At 40.5% G+C, this 19720-nt stretch overlaps 1 long non-coding RNA gene across 1 annotated transcript in view, besides 2 other annotated features; it reads left to right on the forward strand.

Moving 5' to 3' along the window:
* LOC105376360 (uncharacterized) overlaps positions 1 to 19720 on the forward strand; it is a 432070-nt gene that overhangs the window by 408722 nt on the left and 3628 nt on the right. The window lies entirely within an intron of this gene.
* Positions 12154 to 13353: an enhancer, noted in NCBI's record as "P300/CBP strongly-dependent group 1 enhancer chr10:3781762-3782961 (GRCh37/hg19 assembly coordinates)". NCBI's record gives its function as "activates an origin of replication core promoter dependent on BRD2, BRD4, P300/CBP, MED14 and CDK7 cofactors, with strong dependence on P300/CBP, by STARR-seq in HCT116 cells {active_cell/tissue: HCT116}" and the evidence as "EXISTENCE:reporter gene assay evidence [ECO:0000049][PMID:35650434]".
* Positions 14927 to 15066: an enhancer, noted in NCBI's record as "active region_2909". NCBI's record gives its function as "activates an Ori minimal core promoter by ATAC-STARR-seq in GM12878 lymphoblastoid cells {active_cell/tissue: GM12878}" and the evidence as "EXISTENCE:reporter gene assay evidence [ECO:0000049][PMID:35858748]".

Raw genomic sequence — 19720 nt, forward strand, 5'->3', positions numbered from 1 at the left:
TTCTAGGCTTTTTGTAGGTTGAGTAATCTTGGATAATATCTACTATGTCATTAGACTTTGGATTCTCTGTTATTGCTCAGAAAAACGTTGATACTCTTGTTGAGTAAGTAATTAATTCAACTAGATTCTGTGCGGAGAGTTACGCCAGCATTAGACGAGATGGCTCAGACTTTATTCCGGCTCTTTGAGCCATCATTTCAGGCCACTTTCAGTTTGATCTATGCATGTGGGGTTCAAACAGCAGCCGGAGCTGGGGGCGGTGGGGAGGGGGGCATTTATGCTCAGAATCAGATGTCCCCCGTCCCCCTCCGCTTTCCGAGGCTGTCCTTTCTCCCTCTCTCCCTCCTGGCTGCTCTTGGGTTTTCTCCCTGATTGCCTTCAGCGGAGGAGATGCTGGGCTTGGTAAGCTCTGCCTCAGTGGAAGCTTCTGTAAGATAAAGGCGCAGTAGAAAAATGCAAACGTGTTCTCTGCCCCCCGCGCGCTTCAGGGTTGGCTCCCTCCAAAAGCTTCCTGAGCTTGTTCAGTCGCCACAGCTCTGAGAGAGCAGTTTGTTTTGTATCTTGTTAAAGTTTATAGCTGTTAATGATAATTGATTGTTAAGAGTTCACCCCATCTAAGGAGCATATGGCCCACAAATGGCCGGAAGAGAAACTTCCGAGCACTTGCCCCTCCTCAACTGTCATTTTCTCACTTATCTTTAATAGAATATGTATTTTTCTTATATAAAATTATACATATGCTAAAATATAACATACATATATGTAAGAATATATATATGCTGCACTCTAAACACTTACTGCTTTCTTATGTTTCAAATATTTTCTTCTATTTTATGACTTGACTTTCCATTTTTTATGAGAAGCAGGTTTTTTAAATTACATATAGTCAAATATATCAATCTTTTACATGTACGTAATGGTGTGTATTTTTGTGTCTTGTTTAAAAAGACATTCGAAAAAATGATAATAAAAAAACTTCCTAAATCCCATAGTCATATTGATTTTTGTTTTGTATATTGTCTTAAAATTTTTAATTTTGCTTTTTACACTTAAGACTTTAATCAGTCTAGAATTGATTTTTACACACGATATGAAGTGGAGATCTAATTTCTTCATTTTCATTTTGGTTTTCTGGATGAATGAATAAGGGTTAAAAGTTATCATTTACTAAATAGTCCATTTTTCTCCTACAAAAGGAATAAATCAATTTCCAATCATCTATTTCTCTATCCCTTGTCAATACCACATTTACAACTGGGCCCAACCCTAAGTGGTACAGAGGCCCACAGATAAGTAAATGATTGCAGAATAAACTTTGCCAGCTTTAGGACTTTGGCTAGACGTAGCTGGTTCTGCGTGGCATTTTTTAGCCTAGAAACTCAAAGTGCCCCATAGCCTGATTAGGATACACGTGTCATCTTTTCTTCTCCTATTACAAATAAACTAAAGCAGGGACCTGGGTAGCTTGCATATGCATGGGTAGCCTGCAGGGGCTTTGAAATGAAACTGCCTGAGTTCAAAGCCTGATTTCACCACTTACTAACTTAGATCACTTGTCCTTGAGAAATTACCGGATGTCTTTCAGCTTCAATTTCTTATTTATCAAATGCTAATAATAATGTATTCATACCTTAAAATGCTATAAGAATGGACTGAGAAGCCCAAGTGCGGTGGCTCACGCCTGTAATCCCAGCACTTTGGGAGGCCGAGGCGGGCAGATTGCCTGAGCTCAGTAGCTGGAGACCAGCCTGGGCAACATGGTGAAACCCCATCTCTACTAAAATACAAAAAATTAGCTGAGTTTGGTGGCACACACCTGCAATCCCAGCTACTAGGGAGGTTGAGGCAGGAGAATTGCTAGAACCCAGGAGGCAGAGGTTGCAGTGAGCCAAGATCACGCCACTGCACTCCAGCCTGGGCAACAGAGTGAGACTCTGTCTCTCAAAAAAAAAAAAAAAAAAAAAAAAAGAATGGACTGAGAAAATAGGGATAACCTGGCAGTATAATCAAAAGCATGCCGTAGAAAGAAAAGGTTTGTCTCACTGGATACGTGGAGTTATGCGGCCGCAAGACCAGGCACTGGTTCACTGGCTTCCCATTCTGAGCCCTTTTCTCCTTGACTTTTGGTCTTATAGAGTCTGGAAATTTCAAAACCACATTTCACAGGTTTTCTTGCCACTAAGATGACTCAGACCACTGAGCTTCTGTCAAACAGGCAGATCCACCAACAAGCTGGTAAATAGCAGGAGATGGACGCCGCACACGGCTGCCTCTCCTTGCAGGCATGAGGGTGAAGGGGCCTTCAGTGGAGCCCGTGGGGATGGGGGTCCTAGTCCCAGCCAGGCAGTGGCCACCGCAGCATGTGTTTCCATGACAACACTGGACACCGGCATTTCTCTCGTCTCTTTTGGTTCTAGCTGAGTAGTATTCAAGCCATGTTTTCTAGCTGTTTAGATTTCCTGACCTATCTAATATTTGTATTCATTCATTCCACAAATATCTGCAATGTACCTACTATGTTCTCGGCAGGTTTGAGGAGCTTGAAATACATCAGTGGATACAATAGATGAAGATCCTTTGCCTTCAGGGGCTTGTATTACAGCCAGTGAAGACAAATGTAAATATGCAATGTAATGAATGCGTGCAATGGTATGGGAGAAGGTGGTAAGCACTCTGGAAAAACAAAAAGTAGAGCCGGACAGGAGGGGTCAAGTGTGGCAGAGGAGGTGGCAGGGCTGCGATTTTAAGTAGGGTCCTTGGGTTGTCTTCACAGCACCATGAAATTAAAAGATTTCCTGGAGCGAGAGTTCCCACATTGATGTCCCAGGGGTGGGTGAGAGGAGAGCCATGGGTGCAGCCCCGCAGGCCAGGTGCCCTGGGTCTGACCAGGAGAAAAACCAGGGTGAACCTCGCCGTGAGGCCGCCGCCCTCTTTACGCAGACAACACGGTTTTCCTGACTCTGTCCTGACATTGGCCCAGCCTTCATCGTGTCCCCTTTGGAAGTCTCCCCTCCACAGCTAACCTCCCACACTTAGCCATCCTCATCAGGCTGTGCTGGACCCTTGAAATACTCCACAGTGGACTGCTTTGTTCAGCGCAAGGCAGTGGGTGTCGTTGGGCAGTGGACAGTCTTATTCACCTTTTCGCCTTCAGCTTCTAGCGGGAATATATTCGGCTTTCAGAAATGATTGTGAAGAAACAAATGAGCAGATCTGTGAATACATTATCACCTCTATTTTCCTCCTCTAGGTCAATTAGGAGTTATGGCCTATGGTGTGTATATGGCAGGTAAACTCGTTCTTCTACTTAGATGTCCCATCTATGTTGCTCTTTGTTTAGTATTGCAAAAGCATAAGTTCCCTTAAATAATAAAATAAACATGACTTAAATGGTTTGAGCTAGTGGCCACACGTAATGAGCTGGACCTTTCTTGGGCTTCAGCCGCTCCCTGAGATCCCATTAAGTACTTTGGGTTGACTTGCACACTGCCAGGGTGGCTCATTAGTGAGTTACTGCCTCAGTACCTATGCCCTTTTAATGTCTCCTTGGGCCCAGAAGAGCCTCATGTAATATTAAAATATAGTTCAATACATACTCACCTTCTTCTGGGTTTTCACTTCAGAGATTTGGGTCAAGATAGCAAACACCTTCATATATCAAAATAAAGAAATACATGTACGTAAGTAATTTTGTAGCACTTACATATTAAGGTTGCTATGTGTGTGGACACAGGAACAATTCTGAAGAAGCCAGGAGAACGCCACAGTGATGACGAGGACTCCTCTCGAACACAGAGCACTCCCACTCCATAGGACTCGCTGGGCTTTCCAAACTTAGCAACCCAGTTTACCAGGCTCAGTAGGACAGGACAGTTCACTACCCACTGATGCATGTTATTTGGGGGAAGATTTAGTGAAAATTTGAAGAATTCAAGCTCAGAGTCTCAAATGTATATGTACACAATGCTCATCACTCACACAACTGAAAACTGTCTCCACTTTTACACCAAATACCCTCATGATGGGATTTGCACACATCAGCATCGACATAGATTTAATCAGTGATTAGGCCTATTCATAGGAAATAGAGACTTGGACTTGTTATTTTAAAAACCTTTAAAAGGAAGAAGAGCCGGGTGTGGTGGCTCACGCCTGTAATCCTATCACCTTGGGAGGCAGAGGTGGGCAAATCACCTGAGACCAGCCTGGCCAACATGGTGAAACCCTGGCTCTACTAAAAATACAAAAATTAACCAGGTATGGTGGCAGGCACTTGTAATTCCAGCTACTCAGGAGTCTGAGGCAAGAGAATTGCTTGAACCCAGAAGGCGGAGGTTGCAGCGACCCAAGAGTGCACCACTGCACTCCAGCCTGGGTGACAGAGCAAGACTCAGTCTCAAATAAATAAATCAACAAAAAGAGAAAGATACTAGATTTTTCCATGTACTAGGGTTAATTTGGCGGCTATGTGTTACATTAACATACCTTACAATAATTACATGCATTACATTACATTTTTGTCCAAACAGTATTATGAGAATATGTTTTACATGTCTATGTGTCCTGGTAGGTTAAATTCCCCTTTCTTGCTCTTCTTTTTTAAAATTCACAGTTGCACTTGGCTATTCTCACTCACTTATTTTCAAGGTATATTTGTAAGTGAATTTATAAAGATTCCAGAGGAAATTCATTTAGATCTTGTTTAAAATTACATATGACATAATATAGACAAAAATTATACCTTTATTGATATGGTTTGGCTGTGTCCCCACCTAAATCTCATCTTGAATTCCCACGTTTTGTGGGAGGGACCTGCTGGGAGGTAACTGAATCATGGGGACAAGTCTTTCCCATGCTGTTCTCATGATACTGATTAAGTCTCATGAGATCTGACAGTTTTATAAAGAGGAGTTTCCCTGTACAATCTCTCTCTCTCTTTGCCTGCTGCCATCCATGTAAGACATGACTTGCTCCTCCTTGCCTCCCTCCATGATTGTGAGGCTTTCCCATCCACGTGGAACTGTAAGTCCATTAAACCTCTTTCTCTTGTAAATTGCCCAGTCTCGGGTATGTCTTTATCAGCAGCATGAAAACAGACTAATACATTTATAATATTCAATTTCCATCCAGAAATTTATCTCTCATTTACTCAATTAAAAATCCTCTGTCAATTTTGAATGTCCTTTACCTAGTTCTCTTCTCTCTCTTGTTGAATTATGCATGCTGATAGGAAAGCTATCAGCCCAGAGGGAAAAGCAAGTGTTTTGTGTTCTGTATCATCACTACTTTAGGCAACATGATTGCTCAATATAGATTATTTTCCCAAATGTCAGAATGATGATTTATAAAGAAATATTCTATGTGTGTGGTGCCACCTCATTATCCAGCAGACGTTGTAGGAGAAAGTCTTTTTAAATTTCACAGACTAGGTATTATCACAATACAGTCAATAAAAACAGCATGATAATTACCAGATGAGATGACTACATAGTAAAAATGTTATTTGAAACTAAAATTCAATAATATAAAGAACAAAGATTTTCTAGGGCCATTTCGTATCTTATCATTCTTAAGAATGAATAAATAGAGAAAAGTGGCAGTAGAGAGTCATGCTTTTTAGAAAATAAAAATGCAGAGAATAAAAATGCTGCCCTTGCCAAAAATGTCTTCATTCCTTCAACTTTTCATGAATTAAAGAATCATTGCATTTCTTCCCTCATTATGCACCCAAATTAAACGTGGAGATAAACCTTTTAGGGAAAAGTGATCATCTAGAAATGAACTTGATATTTCCAGTAGAAATATGTGGTTTTATTTTTTTAATATTTTAAATTACAGGGAATTTTAATTGTCAACATTTTAGAAGCTCCAGCCTCACAGTCATCACCAGATATACTAACACCAGCCAATGACACGCCAAGTACTTCACTAAATCTGACCCTCCCTGCCTTCATGGAAATGCACACTTAGAATTACAGGTTTGTATTTGTGGTTCCTGGCTTTCTTTTTTTTTCCACTACTTTTTATATTAGAAAAGTCATTTTTTTTCCTAGACTGTGTTACTAAAAAGTTCAGATAAAGATAATCTGTAAAACATACCGCGATTTTATGTTCTTTTTTTTTTTTTTTTTTTGAGATGGGGTCTTGCTCTGTAGCCCAGACTGGAGTGCAGTGGTGTGATATCAGCTCACTGCAACCTCCACCTCCCAGGTTCAAGTGATTCTCCTGCCTCAGCCTCCAAAGTAGCTAGGATTACAGGCATGCACCACCACACCCAACTAAGTTTTGTATTTTTAGTAGAGACAAGGTTTCACCATGTTGGCCAGGCTGGTCTCGAACTCCTGATCTCAGGTGATCCACTGGCCTTGGCCTCCCAGAGTGCTGAGATTACAGGTCTTGAACTCCTGATCTCAGGTGATCCACTGGCCTTGGCTTCCCAGAGTGCTGGGATTACAGGCGTGAGCCACCACACCCAGCCAATTTTATGTTCTATGAGGTGTAAAATTATTCATTATTGTTTGGTTTCACACACAAAGTATCCCAGCCAACAGTGTGAGGATTTTATGGCCCAGTTAAGAATGTTAAGAATTGGATGATACAGATTCTAAAGATAATTCATTTCACTCTAATACGTATTTGTCAAAGAAGCTTTTACATCATTACATTTTTTTACATCTAGTTTAGGAAAGAGAAATTGCACATATCAGCCAGCCTCACCTATTCCCTACTCACAGAACTTGACTGTGGACCAGAGAGAGAGAGAGAATAAGAATGGGGAAACCACAGTAGCAAATCATCTTTAAGAAACATTTACCAAATTATCCATCTCTGTTTAAAAATTAGAATAGCTGAGATATAGTGAAAGCTTGCAATGTGCCAGATACTAAGCCCATTGGCTTGATGATCTCATCCAATTCTCACAGCAACTTGACCAGCTAGGTGCTGTTAGTGCAAGTATTTTTCAGACGAGAACACAGGTCTTGCAGAGGATGGCTGGGAAGCAGAGCAGGTTACGGGGCTGTCATTGCAGAGCCAGCATCTGTACCTGGCTACAAGACTCAGCCACACTCCAGCCCATAGTCGTAAGTTTTAAAAGCACCTCCAAAATCCTTTGCCACTCAGTCCATCATGAGGTGAAGCTTTGTCCCCTCACATTGATGGCCAGACACACGGGGCGCAGCAGAAGTGACTCGGGGCCTGTTGCTTTGGGAAATAGGGGTTTTCACCTCCTACTTCTAGAGTCATTTGCTGTTGAGATCCAGCCTCCATTCTGGGAGCCAGCTTGGGCTGCCTGCCTGTGTCTGAGCCATCTTGGAAGTGAACCCCTTCGAACCCAGCACCCTTGCTTGTGCCATGGAGCACACACAAGCTGCCATTTCTATCCCTGACCCAATGGCAGATTCCCGAGGAAATCAAATGAGTGGTGACTTCCAGCCACTAAGTTACCGTAGCAGTTAACTGATACACAACCGTTAGACTGTTCCTAAAGCTGTGTTTAAAATAAAACTTTAAGCTGGTAGCGCTATAGAAATAACTGTTGACACGCCCCTGTTTTAGAACCAATGTCACTAGGCCATCTTATTTGCTATTCTTTTTTTTTCTGGAAACGTCATTAATAAGAAGCCACAGAACTCCGTGCTTCTCCCCTTGTCAGGACATCTCTTGTGGGAACTCAAGCCAATGTGCACGTAAGGCTCTCTCTCTAAACTAGGATGGTGAGGGTTTCATGTCTTGGGGATGTTGCCTTGCTCTTCCTGGGATGTTTCTGATGCAGCCACGGATGCACAGGGGTGCCCGGAATTCACAACTGAGGAGCACAATCCCAGTGAGACAGCAGGAGCTTTGCCGCAGTGGCATGGAGGTGACACTGGGAGGAGACACACACTGACCCTGGGCCCACGGCCCCTGTTAACAGCCTGGCCCCACCACAGGACACAACAGTCTGTCCCAGGCTGGTGATGCCAGTGACGCCCCAAAGCGCCTTGGTAGGAGGGACTGTGGACACAGCCTGCCCATCCAGCAACTGTGCCGGCTGTTGCTCCATGCACCTGCCCGCCCCCTGCTCGCCCTGCCTCTTTGAACACCTGTTCCCACTGTGGCCTTTCAAAGGCGTCCCTCTCTGCAGTCTTCATTCCAGAGTTATGTGAGTCTCCCCAGGCTGTCCGTCCTGTCAGGGGTCCCCCCGCCGTGCCCCACTTGTCTGATGACCTGCTCTGACACTCTTCTAAGCATGTTTTTGGCTTTAACATCTCTTTGGGCACCACATGTACAAGACAATAAGACCAAACTACAAGACCAAACTCAAATGCTGTGAGGAGGCAGCTGGGGAGCACCTGTAGGAGAAATAACTCGGTATCAGAGAGTGGGGAGTGGTAAGGCTTTGGTAGTTTGTTTATAATCAGAATTATTCAAGTTTATTATAACATCATCTAATAAAGCAAGTCTGGAGAAACTGATGTGGGGCAAAGAGCCTCATTTTGACCCATTCAGAGTTCCTGAAACTTTGGCTTAAATCCATCCAACAAGAGTGGCACCCCAGTTTTGAAGTCATCACAATGAGGAAAGATGGGGCTCTAACCTACAGAATTACCCACTCCATGTGGGCACAAACCAGAGGAAGCTTCCACACCTCGGCCTACCTCACGGCAGAGCATCTTTAAAATAAATGTCTTAATTCATAATAATGCTGGCATACTAATGTGGAAATTATGATTAAAATCATTCAAAGAACCAATCAGTCACCAAGCAAGCACACACAGACATGTAGATGTCTATTACCTTGGGGTTATGTCACCAGTCTTTTACAAACAACTCTCTCTCTCTCTCACACACACACACACACACACACACACACACACACACACACACACCGCTTGCTAGAGTCTGCACCTTTTTCAAGTCGTCCCAAGAGAACAATGGGACTCATGCTCTTGACTGATTTGGGGGTGAACCAAGGAGAGAAGAAGCCTGCTTCATTAGCTAAAACCAAAAGAAGGGAGGGTACTATTTATACAATCAGCTCAGAAAATACCTCTGCCACCCCTCCATCAGTGATGTTTACTTCACCTGATTATTTTGGTTCGTTACCATGGTCTGGCTGGACTATAAACAACATAGTTATTTCTCACGGTTCTGGGGGAACCAAACTGCTGGGAAGTCCAAACTTTAGGCTCTTGGCAAACTTGGCGTCTAGTGAGAGTTTGGCCCCCCAGTTCACAGACAGTGACTGCTCACTGTGTACCCGCAAGGCGGAAGGGGTGAGGCAGCCATCTGGGGCCTGATGATATGGGCACTAATCCCAATAGGGGGCTCTGTCCCCATGGTCGAATCACCTCTTAAATGGGGATTAAGATTTCAGCATGTGAATTTGGAGGGGAATGGGGCACAAACGTTGTCTATTGCACCGTTTTTATTCATTTAAAAATGTTGAAAGAGGATTAAAAATAAGAATAAAAAACTCTCAGCCTAGAACATGCTATTTGCCAATGAGATTTTCTTTTTATTTTATTTTTAAAGATCAACACCACTTACTTTCCCAAGCTTATTTTGAAAGTTGACTTAACAGAAATAATAAGAGGCTTAAAATTTACAATTTCCTTTACCTAGAAATTCCATAAACAATCTAAAAGGCAAACAGAAAATTTGAGGAAAGTTTCCAACATATATGATAGGAAAAAGTTAACATTCTTAGACTATAAATGACTGACATTATTTGAAAAGGCACACACTTCAATAGCATAATGGGCAAAGAATATAAACAAGTAATTTAGAAAAAAAACCGTATGGCCATAAAAAAAGAAAAAATATATATATGTATATATATATATATATATGAAATTATTTAGCCTCAATAGCATTCAAAGAACTATAACATACCAGATACTATTTTCACCCATCAAAAGTCAAATATTAAAAATAAGTTATAGTATCCAATGTTGTCCCACATATGAGGAAGTAAACAGCCTCCTACACTATTGGTGGAAAACAAATTAATACAACCTTTTTGTAAACTAATTTGCTTATTCCTATTAAAAACCTTTAAAATAAGTACATCCTTTTGTCCAATAAGTTTACTTGGAAAGATTTATTATAATAATTATAGCTATACTCAAAGATTTAACTTAAATATGTTCATTGTTTATATCTGATCAAATATTTGTACAATCTGGTGACCAGAATAATACATAGTATAACCCCATTTTTGTGGAAACAAATATTTATATGTACAGTTGACCCTTGAACAACATGGGTTTGAACTACTCTAGTCCACTTGTGTGTGGATTTTCCAATGAATATATTGAAAACTTTTTTGGAGATTGTAACAATTTGAAAAACCTTACAGATGAGCTGCTTAGCCTAGAAATCCTGAAAAAATTAAGAAAAAGGTATGCCATGAATACATAAACTATATGTAGATACTAGTCTTATTTATATGTTAATCAGCTGTTCATGCTATCAGTAAGGCTTCCTGTCAGGAGTCAGCTATCAGTAGTTAAATTTTAGGGGAGTCAAAAGTCATATGTGAATTGTATTCGTCCGTTTTCACCCTGCTGATAAAGACATACTTGAGACTGGGAAGAAAAAGAGGTTTAATTGGACTTACAGTTTCATGTGGCTGGGGAGGCCTCAGAATCACAACGGGAGGTGAAAGGCACTTCTTACTTGGTGCTGGCAAGAGAAGATGAGAGAGAAGCAAAAGCAGAAACCCCTGATAAGCCCATCAGATCTCATGAGACTTATTCACTATCATGAGGACAGTATGGGGGAAACCACCCCAATGATTTAAATTATGTCCCACCAGGATACAATTCAAAATGAGATTTCGGTGGGGACACAGCCAAACCCTACATGAATATTTAACTGTGCGAGAGGTCAGTGCCTATAACGCTTGCATTGTTCAAGGGTCAACTGTATATAATATATAGTTAAAAAAATACATAAAAGTATACACAGCAAAGAGGTTACTCTGGAGTGGCAGAATTTTATATTATTTTAATTTTTTCTCTGTTAATCTATGTGGACTATTTTTCCTTTAATAATCATGTGCTATGCCCTTAGATGTATTTATTATGTGAAAAAAGATAGTTATTCCTTTATTACTAAAAATAAATGCTTCTAGAATAAATAAGTAAAAGTAATATAATTATTTGGTACAGATTTTTAATAAAATGGTGTTAAAGAATAAAAATTCTTACATATGCAAGGAAGAATCAGAATGTGTATAACAAAAAAGCAATAGTCTTCATGTGTGATTATGAATTGTGAGATGTTTATTTTCTTCTTGTTCTCATCCACACTGTCTAATTTCTCTGTAAGAATGTTGATTACTTTCTAAGAAAACATAGTTTAATTGGCACCTTGGGGTTGTGGTGAAACAGGCATCCTGATGCCAGTATAATTGGCTACAGCCTTTCTTAAAAACAATTTTCAAATTCCTTTCACTATCCTTAAAAGATGACAGTGTTTTACATAGTGATTCCATTCCTGTTGATCTATCTTAAGGATATAATCAGAATATTGACTCAAGACTGTTGTTTTTCCAGAATTCTTTCAAATTGAAAAAAAAAATTTAAAAAGAAAAGAATATCTAAATAAATAAAGTATATCAATATAATGAACTATTGTGCAATCATTAGAATGATTTCTAAGTGTTTTTTACATAGTAACTTGTTATTGAACATTTAGTTTGAGTCATACGTTATATCAAAAGTTTCACCATGCATGAGTTCATTTGATTCTCTCAACAAACCTGTGAATTAATATTGTGACCATGATTAGTCACATGAGAAAACTGAGGATAAGAGAAAACTATAAGACTCTTATGTGACAAAATGTCTAAACAGAGTAACTATTTGAATCCAGCCCCTATGGATTTTGCTACTACTATCTGGAAATGATAAAGCAAAATCAGACACTACCAGTGATTTAATGCTAAGAGGAAAAAAAGTCATCACCTAAATTGTATCCTATTAAAATAGACATATAGGCATAGGAAGAAATAGAGCAAAACATTCATAGACACAATATGGGCATGGCAAGTTTTCAAATAATTTTTATTTTTTTAAAATTTTGTTCCTTTCTGTGTTTCTCAAATGTACTACAATGCACATGTATTATAAGAAGAAAAAAATAGACCGGGCACGGTGGCTCATGCCTGTAATCCCAGCACTTTGGGAGGCCGAGGTGGGCAGATCACGAGGTCAGGAGATGGAGACCATCCTGGCTAACACGGTGAAACCCTGCCTCTACTAAAAATACAAAAAATTAGCCGGGCGTGGCGGCGGATGCCTGTAGTCCCAGCTCCTCGGGAGGCTGAGGCAGGAGAATGGAGTGAACCCGGGAGGCAGAGCTTGCAGTGAGCCTAGATCGTGCCACTGCACTCCAACCTGGGTGACAGAGCAAGACTCCATCTCAAAGAAAAAAAAAAAAAAAGAAGAAGAAAAAAATAAGGTAGCTGTAAGTAACCAAAAAAATACATTTTCAAACGGGGGTTATTCTCATGTTTGGCATGTGTCATATAAACACTAAACAGTGCTAGAATAATGGGTAACTTGACTTTATACACACTGTGCTTTATCATAATTCTGCAGAAAATGATACAAAATATATCACTTGACTTAGAATATGAAGGTCAATATATTTTGTAATTAGGTATTTGACAAATGCTTTCCTGTAAGAGCTCCTCGCTTTATAAATATGGACTCACTGATATCGATGATAAAATAAATATCAAAGTTTGTCATCCACAGGGGAAGGATGTTGAGATAAGATTTTCGTTTCACCCTTTACCCACTCATATGGTATGAGAGGAACCCCAGCAGAGCAGGAAGTTCAGGTAACATTACTCAGCATTACTCAGTCTCTTCTGAGCTGTTTCTTTCTCACTTGCTGTCTTACATCCTTCAGATATTACTTTTTACAAGACTTCAAACACTAATAAAATGATACACATTAGTAAAAGAGAAAAATCCATTATATAACCCTTCAGAATAGACTAAAGGAGCAGAGTCCATAAAAGCTGAATCATCCCATTGTGTAGGTCCCTACCAAAAACACTTGACTTATCAGCTGAGCCAGGAAACCTCATCTTCAGTACACATGAGATATCAGTAGCTGTTTCACAGGTTGGTCATCAAGGGAGGCATTTAGGTAAAGATTCGCATTCTGACTTTATCACTCACTAACTGGAGAATTGCAGCAAGTTACTCAAGCCCTTAATACCTCTGTTTTCTCAGTATTAGGAATGCAGAGTAATGTCTATTACATAGGGCAGTTGTGAAATTTGGGCAAGAGAGTGTGTGTTAAATCCAGAGGCTGACACATAATTAAGTATTCAACTCAGTCAGCGAATGTGTTTACTAAGTGCCAAGTCACCCACTGAAATCAAACCTGTCCGTGGTGCCACAGATACAGCTGTAAGAATGCAGCCAAAACCCTGTCCTCCGCCAGCTCATATTTTAGTGATCCTTATTGTACAGGTCTTGAATTTGACCAATCAGCAGACATAGTGGTTTTTGTTATAATAAAATCTAGATTAAACATATTTATTGGATAATTTTTAAATCTTCAGAAAAAGATTCACAAAATAATATTTTATATTGCAATGTATATTTTTACTTGATTGGTAAAATTAAGATCTTTAATCCACTTTTCTTTCTTTTTTTTTTTTTTTTGAGATGGAGTCTCACTCTGTTGCCCCAGGTGCCCCAGGCTGGACTGCAGTGGCACGACCTCGGCTCACTGCAAGCTCCACCTCCCCGGTTCAGGTCATTCTCCTGCCTCAGCCTCCCGAGTAGCTGGGACTATAGGCACCCAACAACACACCTAGCTAATTTTTTGTATTTTTAGTAGAAACAGGGTTTCCCCGTGTCAGTCAGGTTGGTCTCGATCTCCTGACCTTGCGATCTGCCCACGTCGGCCTCCCAAAGTGCTGGGATTACAGGTGTGAGCCACTGTGCCCGGCTAATCCACTTTTCAGAAAGACTTTTTTGATAGTTAATTTTATGTCAACTTGACTGGGCAAAGGGATGCCCAGATAGCTGGTAAAAGTCCATTCCCAGGTGTGTTTTTGGAAGAGATTTGCATTTCATTTGACTTGATGGGATTGATTTTTGAATTGGTGAATGGAGGTAAAGAAGACCCACCCTCGCCAATGTGGGCATAATCCAGTTCTTTTGTAACCTCCCAGCGGGTTCACCTTGTTCGCTGCTTAGACAGAACCGATTTATCAAGACAGGGGAAATGCAATGGAGAAAGAGTAGTTCACACAGAGCCAGCTGTGTGGAAGCTGGAGTTTTATTATTACTCAAATCAGTCTCCCCGAACATTTGGAGATCAGAGTTTTTGAAGATAATTTGGTGGGTGGGGAGGGGCAGTGAGTTGGGGAGTGCTGATTGGTTGGGTTGGAGATGAAATCATGGAGCATCACTGTCTTCTTGGGCTGAGTTAGCTCCTGGGTGGGGGTCACAAGATCAGATGGGCCAGTTTATCCATCTGTGTGGTGCCAGCTGCTTCATCAAGTGCAGGGTCTACAAAACATCTCAAGCACGGATTTTAGAAGCAGTTTAAAGAGGTTCAGAATCTCGTAGCCTCCAGCTGCATGACTCCTAAACCGTAATTACTAATCTTGTGGCTAATGTTAGTAGCCTAGTTCCCAGGCAAGAAGGAGGTTTGTTTTGGGAAAGGGCTGTTATTGTCTTTGTTTTAAACTGTAAACTATGAACTAAGTTTCTCCCAAAGTTAGTTCAGCCTATGACAAGAATGAACAAGGACAGCTTGGAGGTTAGAGGCAAGATGAAATTGGTTAAGTTGGATCTTTTTCACTGTCTCAGTCATAATTTTGCAAAGGCAGTTTCACTTTCAGAGCCCAAACAGTACAAAAAATGTAGCGGAAGGGTGAATTTTCTTTCTGTGTTGTAGCCAGGACATCCATCTTCTCCTGCCCTCACGTTGGGAGCTTCTGGTTCTTAGGTCTTCAGATTTGAACTTGGGACTTGGGACTGAGCCACACCACCAGCATTCCTGGCTCTGCAGCTTGCAGACAGCAGATTGTGAGACTTCTAGGTCCTCATAATCTCAGCAGCCACTTCCGTTAATCTCTATATATACATATACATATACATGTGTGTGTTCATGTATGTGTGTGTGTGTAGTCCATGTATGTGTGCGTGTGTGTATAGTAACACTTTTGTTACTCCATTTAACCTTGATTACATAACATTCACAAGCAAGTGTTTAAATACAATTCTTTTTTAATTTGAATTGTTTGGTATTTTGTGGGCCTTTTGGTTTAAAGGCTCATATTATTTAGCTTTAAACAATATTCTTGTTTCATTTATTTTATAATTTCTGTTTTTCCAAGTTTATTTTGCTCTAACTCCTGCTATTTTTTTGCCTTCAAGTTTCATATATACATTTTTTGTCATATATATGCATGTGTGTGTGTGTGTCCTTGAAGACAAGAAATATATACATATGGACCTTGAAGACAAGGACTACACACACACACACACACACATGCACACACACATGCACACATGCATGCACATTTTATGTATTTGCATCTATACATGCATAGAGAGCATATATATGTATATGTGTATATATACGTGTGTGTGTATATATGTGTGTGTTTATATGCGTGTGTGTGTCCTTGAAGACAAGCAATGCAGTTGTTGTTTACATGTCCTGTGCCTATCACAATGCATGGGATATGATATGCTTTCAGTAAAGCTTGCTGAACAAATGCATGAATGAATGGGTTAGCAAAAATATTTTAACCTGCCTAAAAGAAACCATAAAATTTATAATTTTTTAAAGCAAGACTGTCATGTATATATCAACAGATAAATGAAAATTTGTTAGAGAAAAAAGAAAAAGCCCAGAATGAGAATATTATGTTCTCTTTATCCAAACTAACTCCTGTAGATGTGAAACTTGGAGAGAAAATAAACAGGATCATTTGCTTAGGATTTCTCTTCTAAGAGCTCTAAATATTGGAAACACACTGAGTAGCAATATTGCATCCAAATCTGTTGGTTAACAAATTAAAAATGTATAAAATAACAAACATCTTCCTTAGGGTAGGCCCATAAAAAATAGATTTACTAAATGAAAGAAGTAGTGTTTCAAAATAATTTCTATCACTAATTTGAAGGTTTTGCTTTATTGCATTTTTTGTTCAATACTGCTAAAGCAATTCTTATCATTTTTTCAGTGATTCTCAATTTTGAACACTTTTGTTACTCTGATTTAACCTTCATTATGTAACATTCCCAATCAAGTGTTCAAATGCAATTCTTTTTTTTTTTTTTTTTTGAGATGGAGTTTTGCTCTGTCGCCCAGGCTGGAGTGCAGTGGCACGATCTCGGCTCACTGCAAGCTCCGCCTCCTGGGTTCATGCCATTCTCCTGCCTCAGCCTCCCGAGTAGCTGGGACTACAGGTGCCCACCACCACGCCCAGCTAATTTTTTGTATTTGTTTTGTTTTGTTTTGTTTTTTTAGTAGAGACAGGGTTTCACTGTGTTAGCCAGGGTGGTCTCGATATCCTGACCTCATGATCTGCCCACCTCGGCCTCCCAAAATGCTGAGATTACAGGTGTGAGCCACCACACCCGGCTGCAATTCTTTTTTTAATTTGAATTGTTTGGTATTTTATGAGCCTTTTAGTTTAAAGGCTTATATTCTTTAGCTTTGAACAATATTCTTGATTTATTTCTTTTATAATTTCTGTTTTTCCAAGTTTCTTTTGCTGTAACTCCTGTTGTGTGTTTTTTTTTTTAATTAAGCTTTCCTGGAATCGTTATCTATATATTTTACTTTTCCCTATTTTTTCTGTATCTTTGTATTTTTCTCAATTAACTACTAGAATAATGTAAGTTAGTATTTGACATTTTGAAATCTTACCATCGATATCAGAGTCACAATTTATGGGGAAAGAAAGAAGGTTAAAACAAAGACAGCGCCTAGCATAATCTCTTTCGCAATAGTGCTGATTAGATTAACTACGTACTAAGTAGAGCAATAAAGTAGCTGCAGTGAATAGTGAGGAAGGACAAGCATCCCATTCAAGCAGCATCAGGAAACCTTTATCTGGCGCTCACCAGCTCTGTGCCCCACGCTGCTGATAGGTGATCAGCATGGCTTTGTCCTTGACCTTGAGGACTGAAAGCTTAATATTTCCTTTTCCTGCCTTCCTTTGCCATATTAAAACAATTCCAAACTGGTTTTGGTGGTGCATACCTGTAATCCCAACTACTCAGAAGGCTGAGGTGGGAGGATCCCTTGAGCGCTGGAGTTCAAGGCTCCAATGAGCTCCAATGGTACCACTGCACTCAGGCCAGGGCCACAGAGCAAACTCTATTTCTAAAGTAAACAAGGACTCATGCGGTGCCTCACACCTGTAATCCCAGCACTTTGGGAGGCCAAGGCAAGTGGATCACCTGAGGTCAGGAGTTCGAGACCACTCTGGCCAACATGGTGAAACCCCCATCTCTACTAAAAATTCAAAAATTAGCCAGGAGTGGAGGCACACACCTGTGGTCCCAGCTACTCGGAAGGCTGAGGCAGGAGAATTGGTTGAACCCGGGAGGTGGAGGTTGCAGTGAGCCAAGATGGTACCATTACACTCCAGCCTGGGCAACAGAGCGAGACTCCACCTCAAAAAATAAAAAAATAAAGTAAACAAATACATAAATAAAAATTTAGAAATAAAGCAATCTCAGTCTTTGAATAAAGCTTCTCATTATATTATGATATAAAAATATTAAATTTTACTCCTAAAAATCTTACAATCACTATCCCTCTTTATTTTCCATTGGACCATACCAGCCAGTCAGAATATTCTCGCACTCTCTAATCCACACTCATCCACAAAAACACACATGCATTCAATATTCACATGCCCAAAAGCTATCTCCACCCATTGTTCAATTTATATAAAGTCACTATTCTATTTCCAATAGTCATCCATCCACTCATTCGAACCAAGGTTCTCAGTTAACTGTAATTCCATGAGCTGCAAAGTTCTTCACCTTTGAAGATGTCACATTGTTTTCTAGAATTTCTCCTTCCTCCTAACAGTCTTGTCACCATACGCATCTTGCTCCAGCTGCCTTCTGGAGCAGGTGATGGGATGAGAGAGGAAGAAGAATCCCTCCTCCCATCTCTCAGAAGTGCAGCTTCTGCCAATCACCATGAAACAGCAGGAACACTGGGCTGAAAACAAGCACTGAAGGAACCAAAGAGTAAATAAATATCAGCACAGACGCAGACCTTGATATCCAGCTCATCAAAGCGTGCTGCACCCTCCCAAAAAACAGTCCCTTACTTGAAAGAGCGTTAGAATTAGAGAGGAGCCTGTGACGCTTGGCAACACCACAGCTGCTCTCAGCAGGGTGCCACAGCACAAAAGGGTCTCAGGAAATTGTCACAAGTGAAGGAAACACAAATGTAAAATTGATGAGGAAAATACCTGCCTTAAAATGATAATGGCAATTGGAAGTATTCCAGATGGCGTCAATGTGGAAATGATCCAGTAAATGAGATTACAGCCGGGTAGTAGCATGCCAGGTCAATCTTAAAAGTTGTTGTGTATAGCGATGTTTATTAATTTGAAAAGATATTCATATATTTTATGAGAAAGAGTCAGGTTTCAAACAATATGTAAGATAGGGTTCTGATGTAAAGACATAAGGAAAAGGAGAGAGCGAACGAGAAATTGACAGGATCTGTAACTATGTGTAATGCTGGATGGTGAATTGTTTTCTTTCTTCCTCTTTGTTCTTTGTTCCTACAGTCTAATATTTATAGTAAGTGTATATTTTACAACTAGACAAAAACTTTTTTTTTTTTGAGATGGAGTCTCGCTCTGTTGCCCAGGCTGGAGTGCAGATGGCACGATCTTGGCTCACTGCAACCTCTGCCTCCCGGGTTCAAGAGATTCTCATGCCTCAGCCTCCCGACTTGCTGGGATTACAGGTACATGCCACCGCACTCGGCTAATTTTGGTATAGACTGAAACATTTTTAAATGTATAAATTTCACACTGCAGTGCAATACAAGGCAGAGAAGCACTTCGGTGCAGTGGGAACTCCGCGTGGGGGCCACATCCCCGGGTTTCACCTCCAGTTCTGCTGCCAAGACATTTAAGAAAGTCATTTAACCATTAGAGCTCATTTCTCCACCTTAAACATGAAGACGCTAAGTCCACTTATGGCTATAAAATCTGGAGTAATCGATTTCTTAAACCCATATATCTACCCACCCTAAACACACTGTTCTTACACACATTGCCAAACTCTCCGGCTCATCGTCACACAGCAAAGCCAAAGACCTCAAACTTTTCTGCCAGGTGACAGCCCTGCTGGAGGCTTCTGGTCACCTTGCACATTCCCGTGTGTCCTCTGGACAGAACACCACGCAAGCCTACACGCCCCACAATCCAGGGGAGGCTGAATTAGCAGCTGTGCAACACCACTAATGTGGAGCCTTTCCAGCTTCATTGAGTTTGACTTAAAATAAATGGAGACTTGTGTGTGTTGGGTGAGGGTGGTGGTGCGTATCCCCATTTTGTTTAATTTGGGAAGGGACTTTTGGTGGCTTTGCCAACCCATGGCAATATTTGCAGTAAAAATTCACAGCTGATTCTCTCCCTTCTGGTCTGTGGAGTCTCCTTGGGAACCACTGATATGAATCCAGCCCCTGTCTACAGAGGTGGAGG

The sequence above is a fragment of the Homo sapiens genome, chromosome 10 (assembly GCF_000001405.40).
Source record: "Homo sapiens chromosome 10, GRCh38.p14 Primary Assembly".
Taxonomy (NCBI): domain Eukaryota; kingdom Metazoa; phylum Chordata; class Mammalia; order Primates; family Hominidae; genus Homo; species Homo sapiens.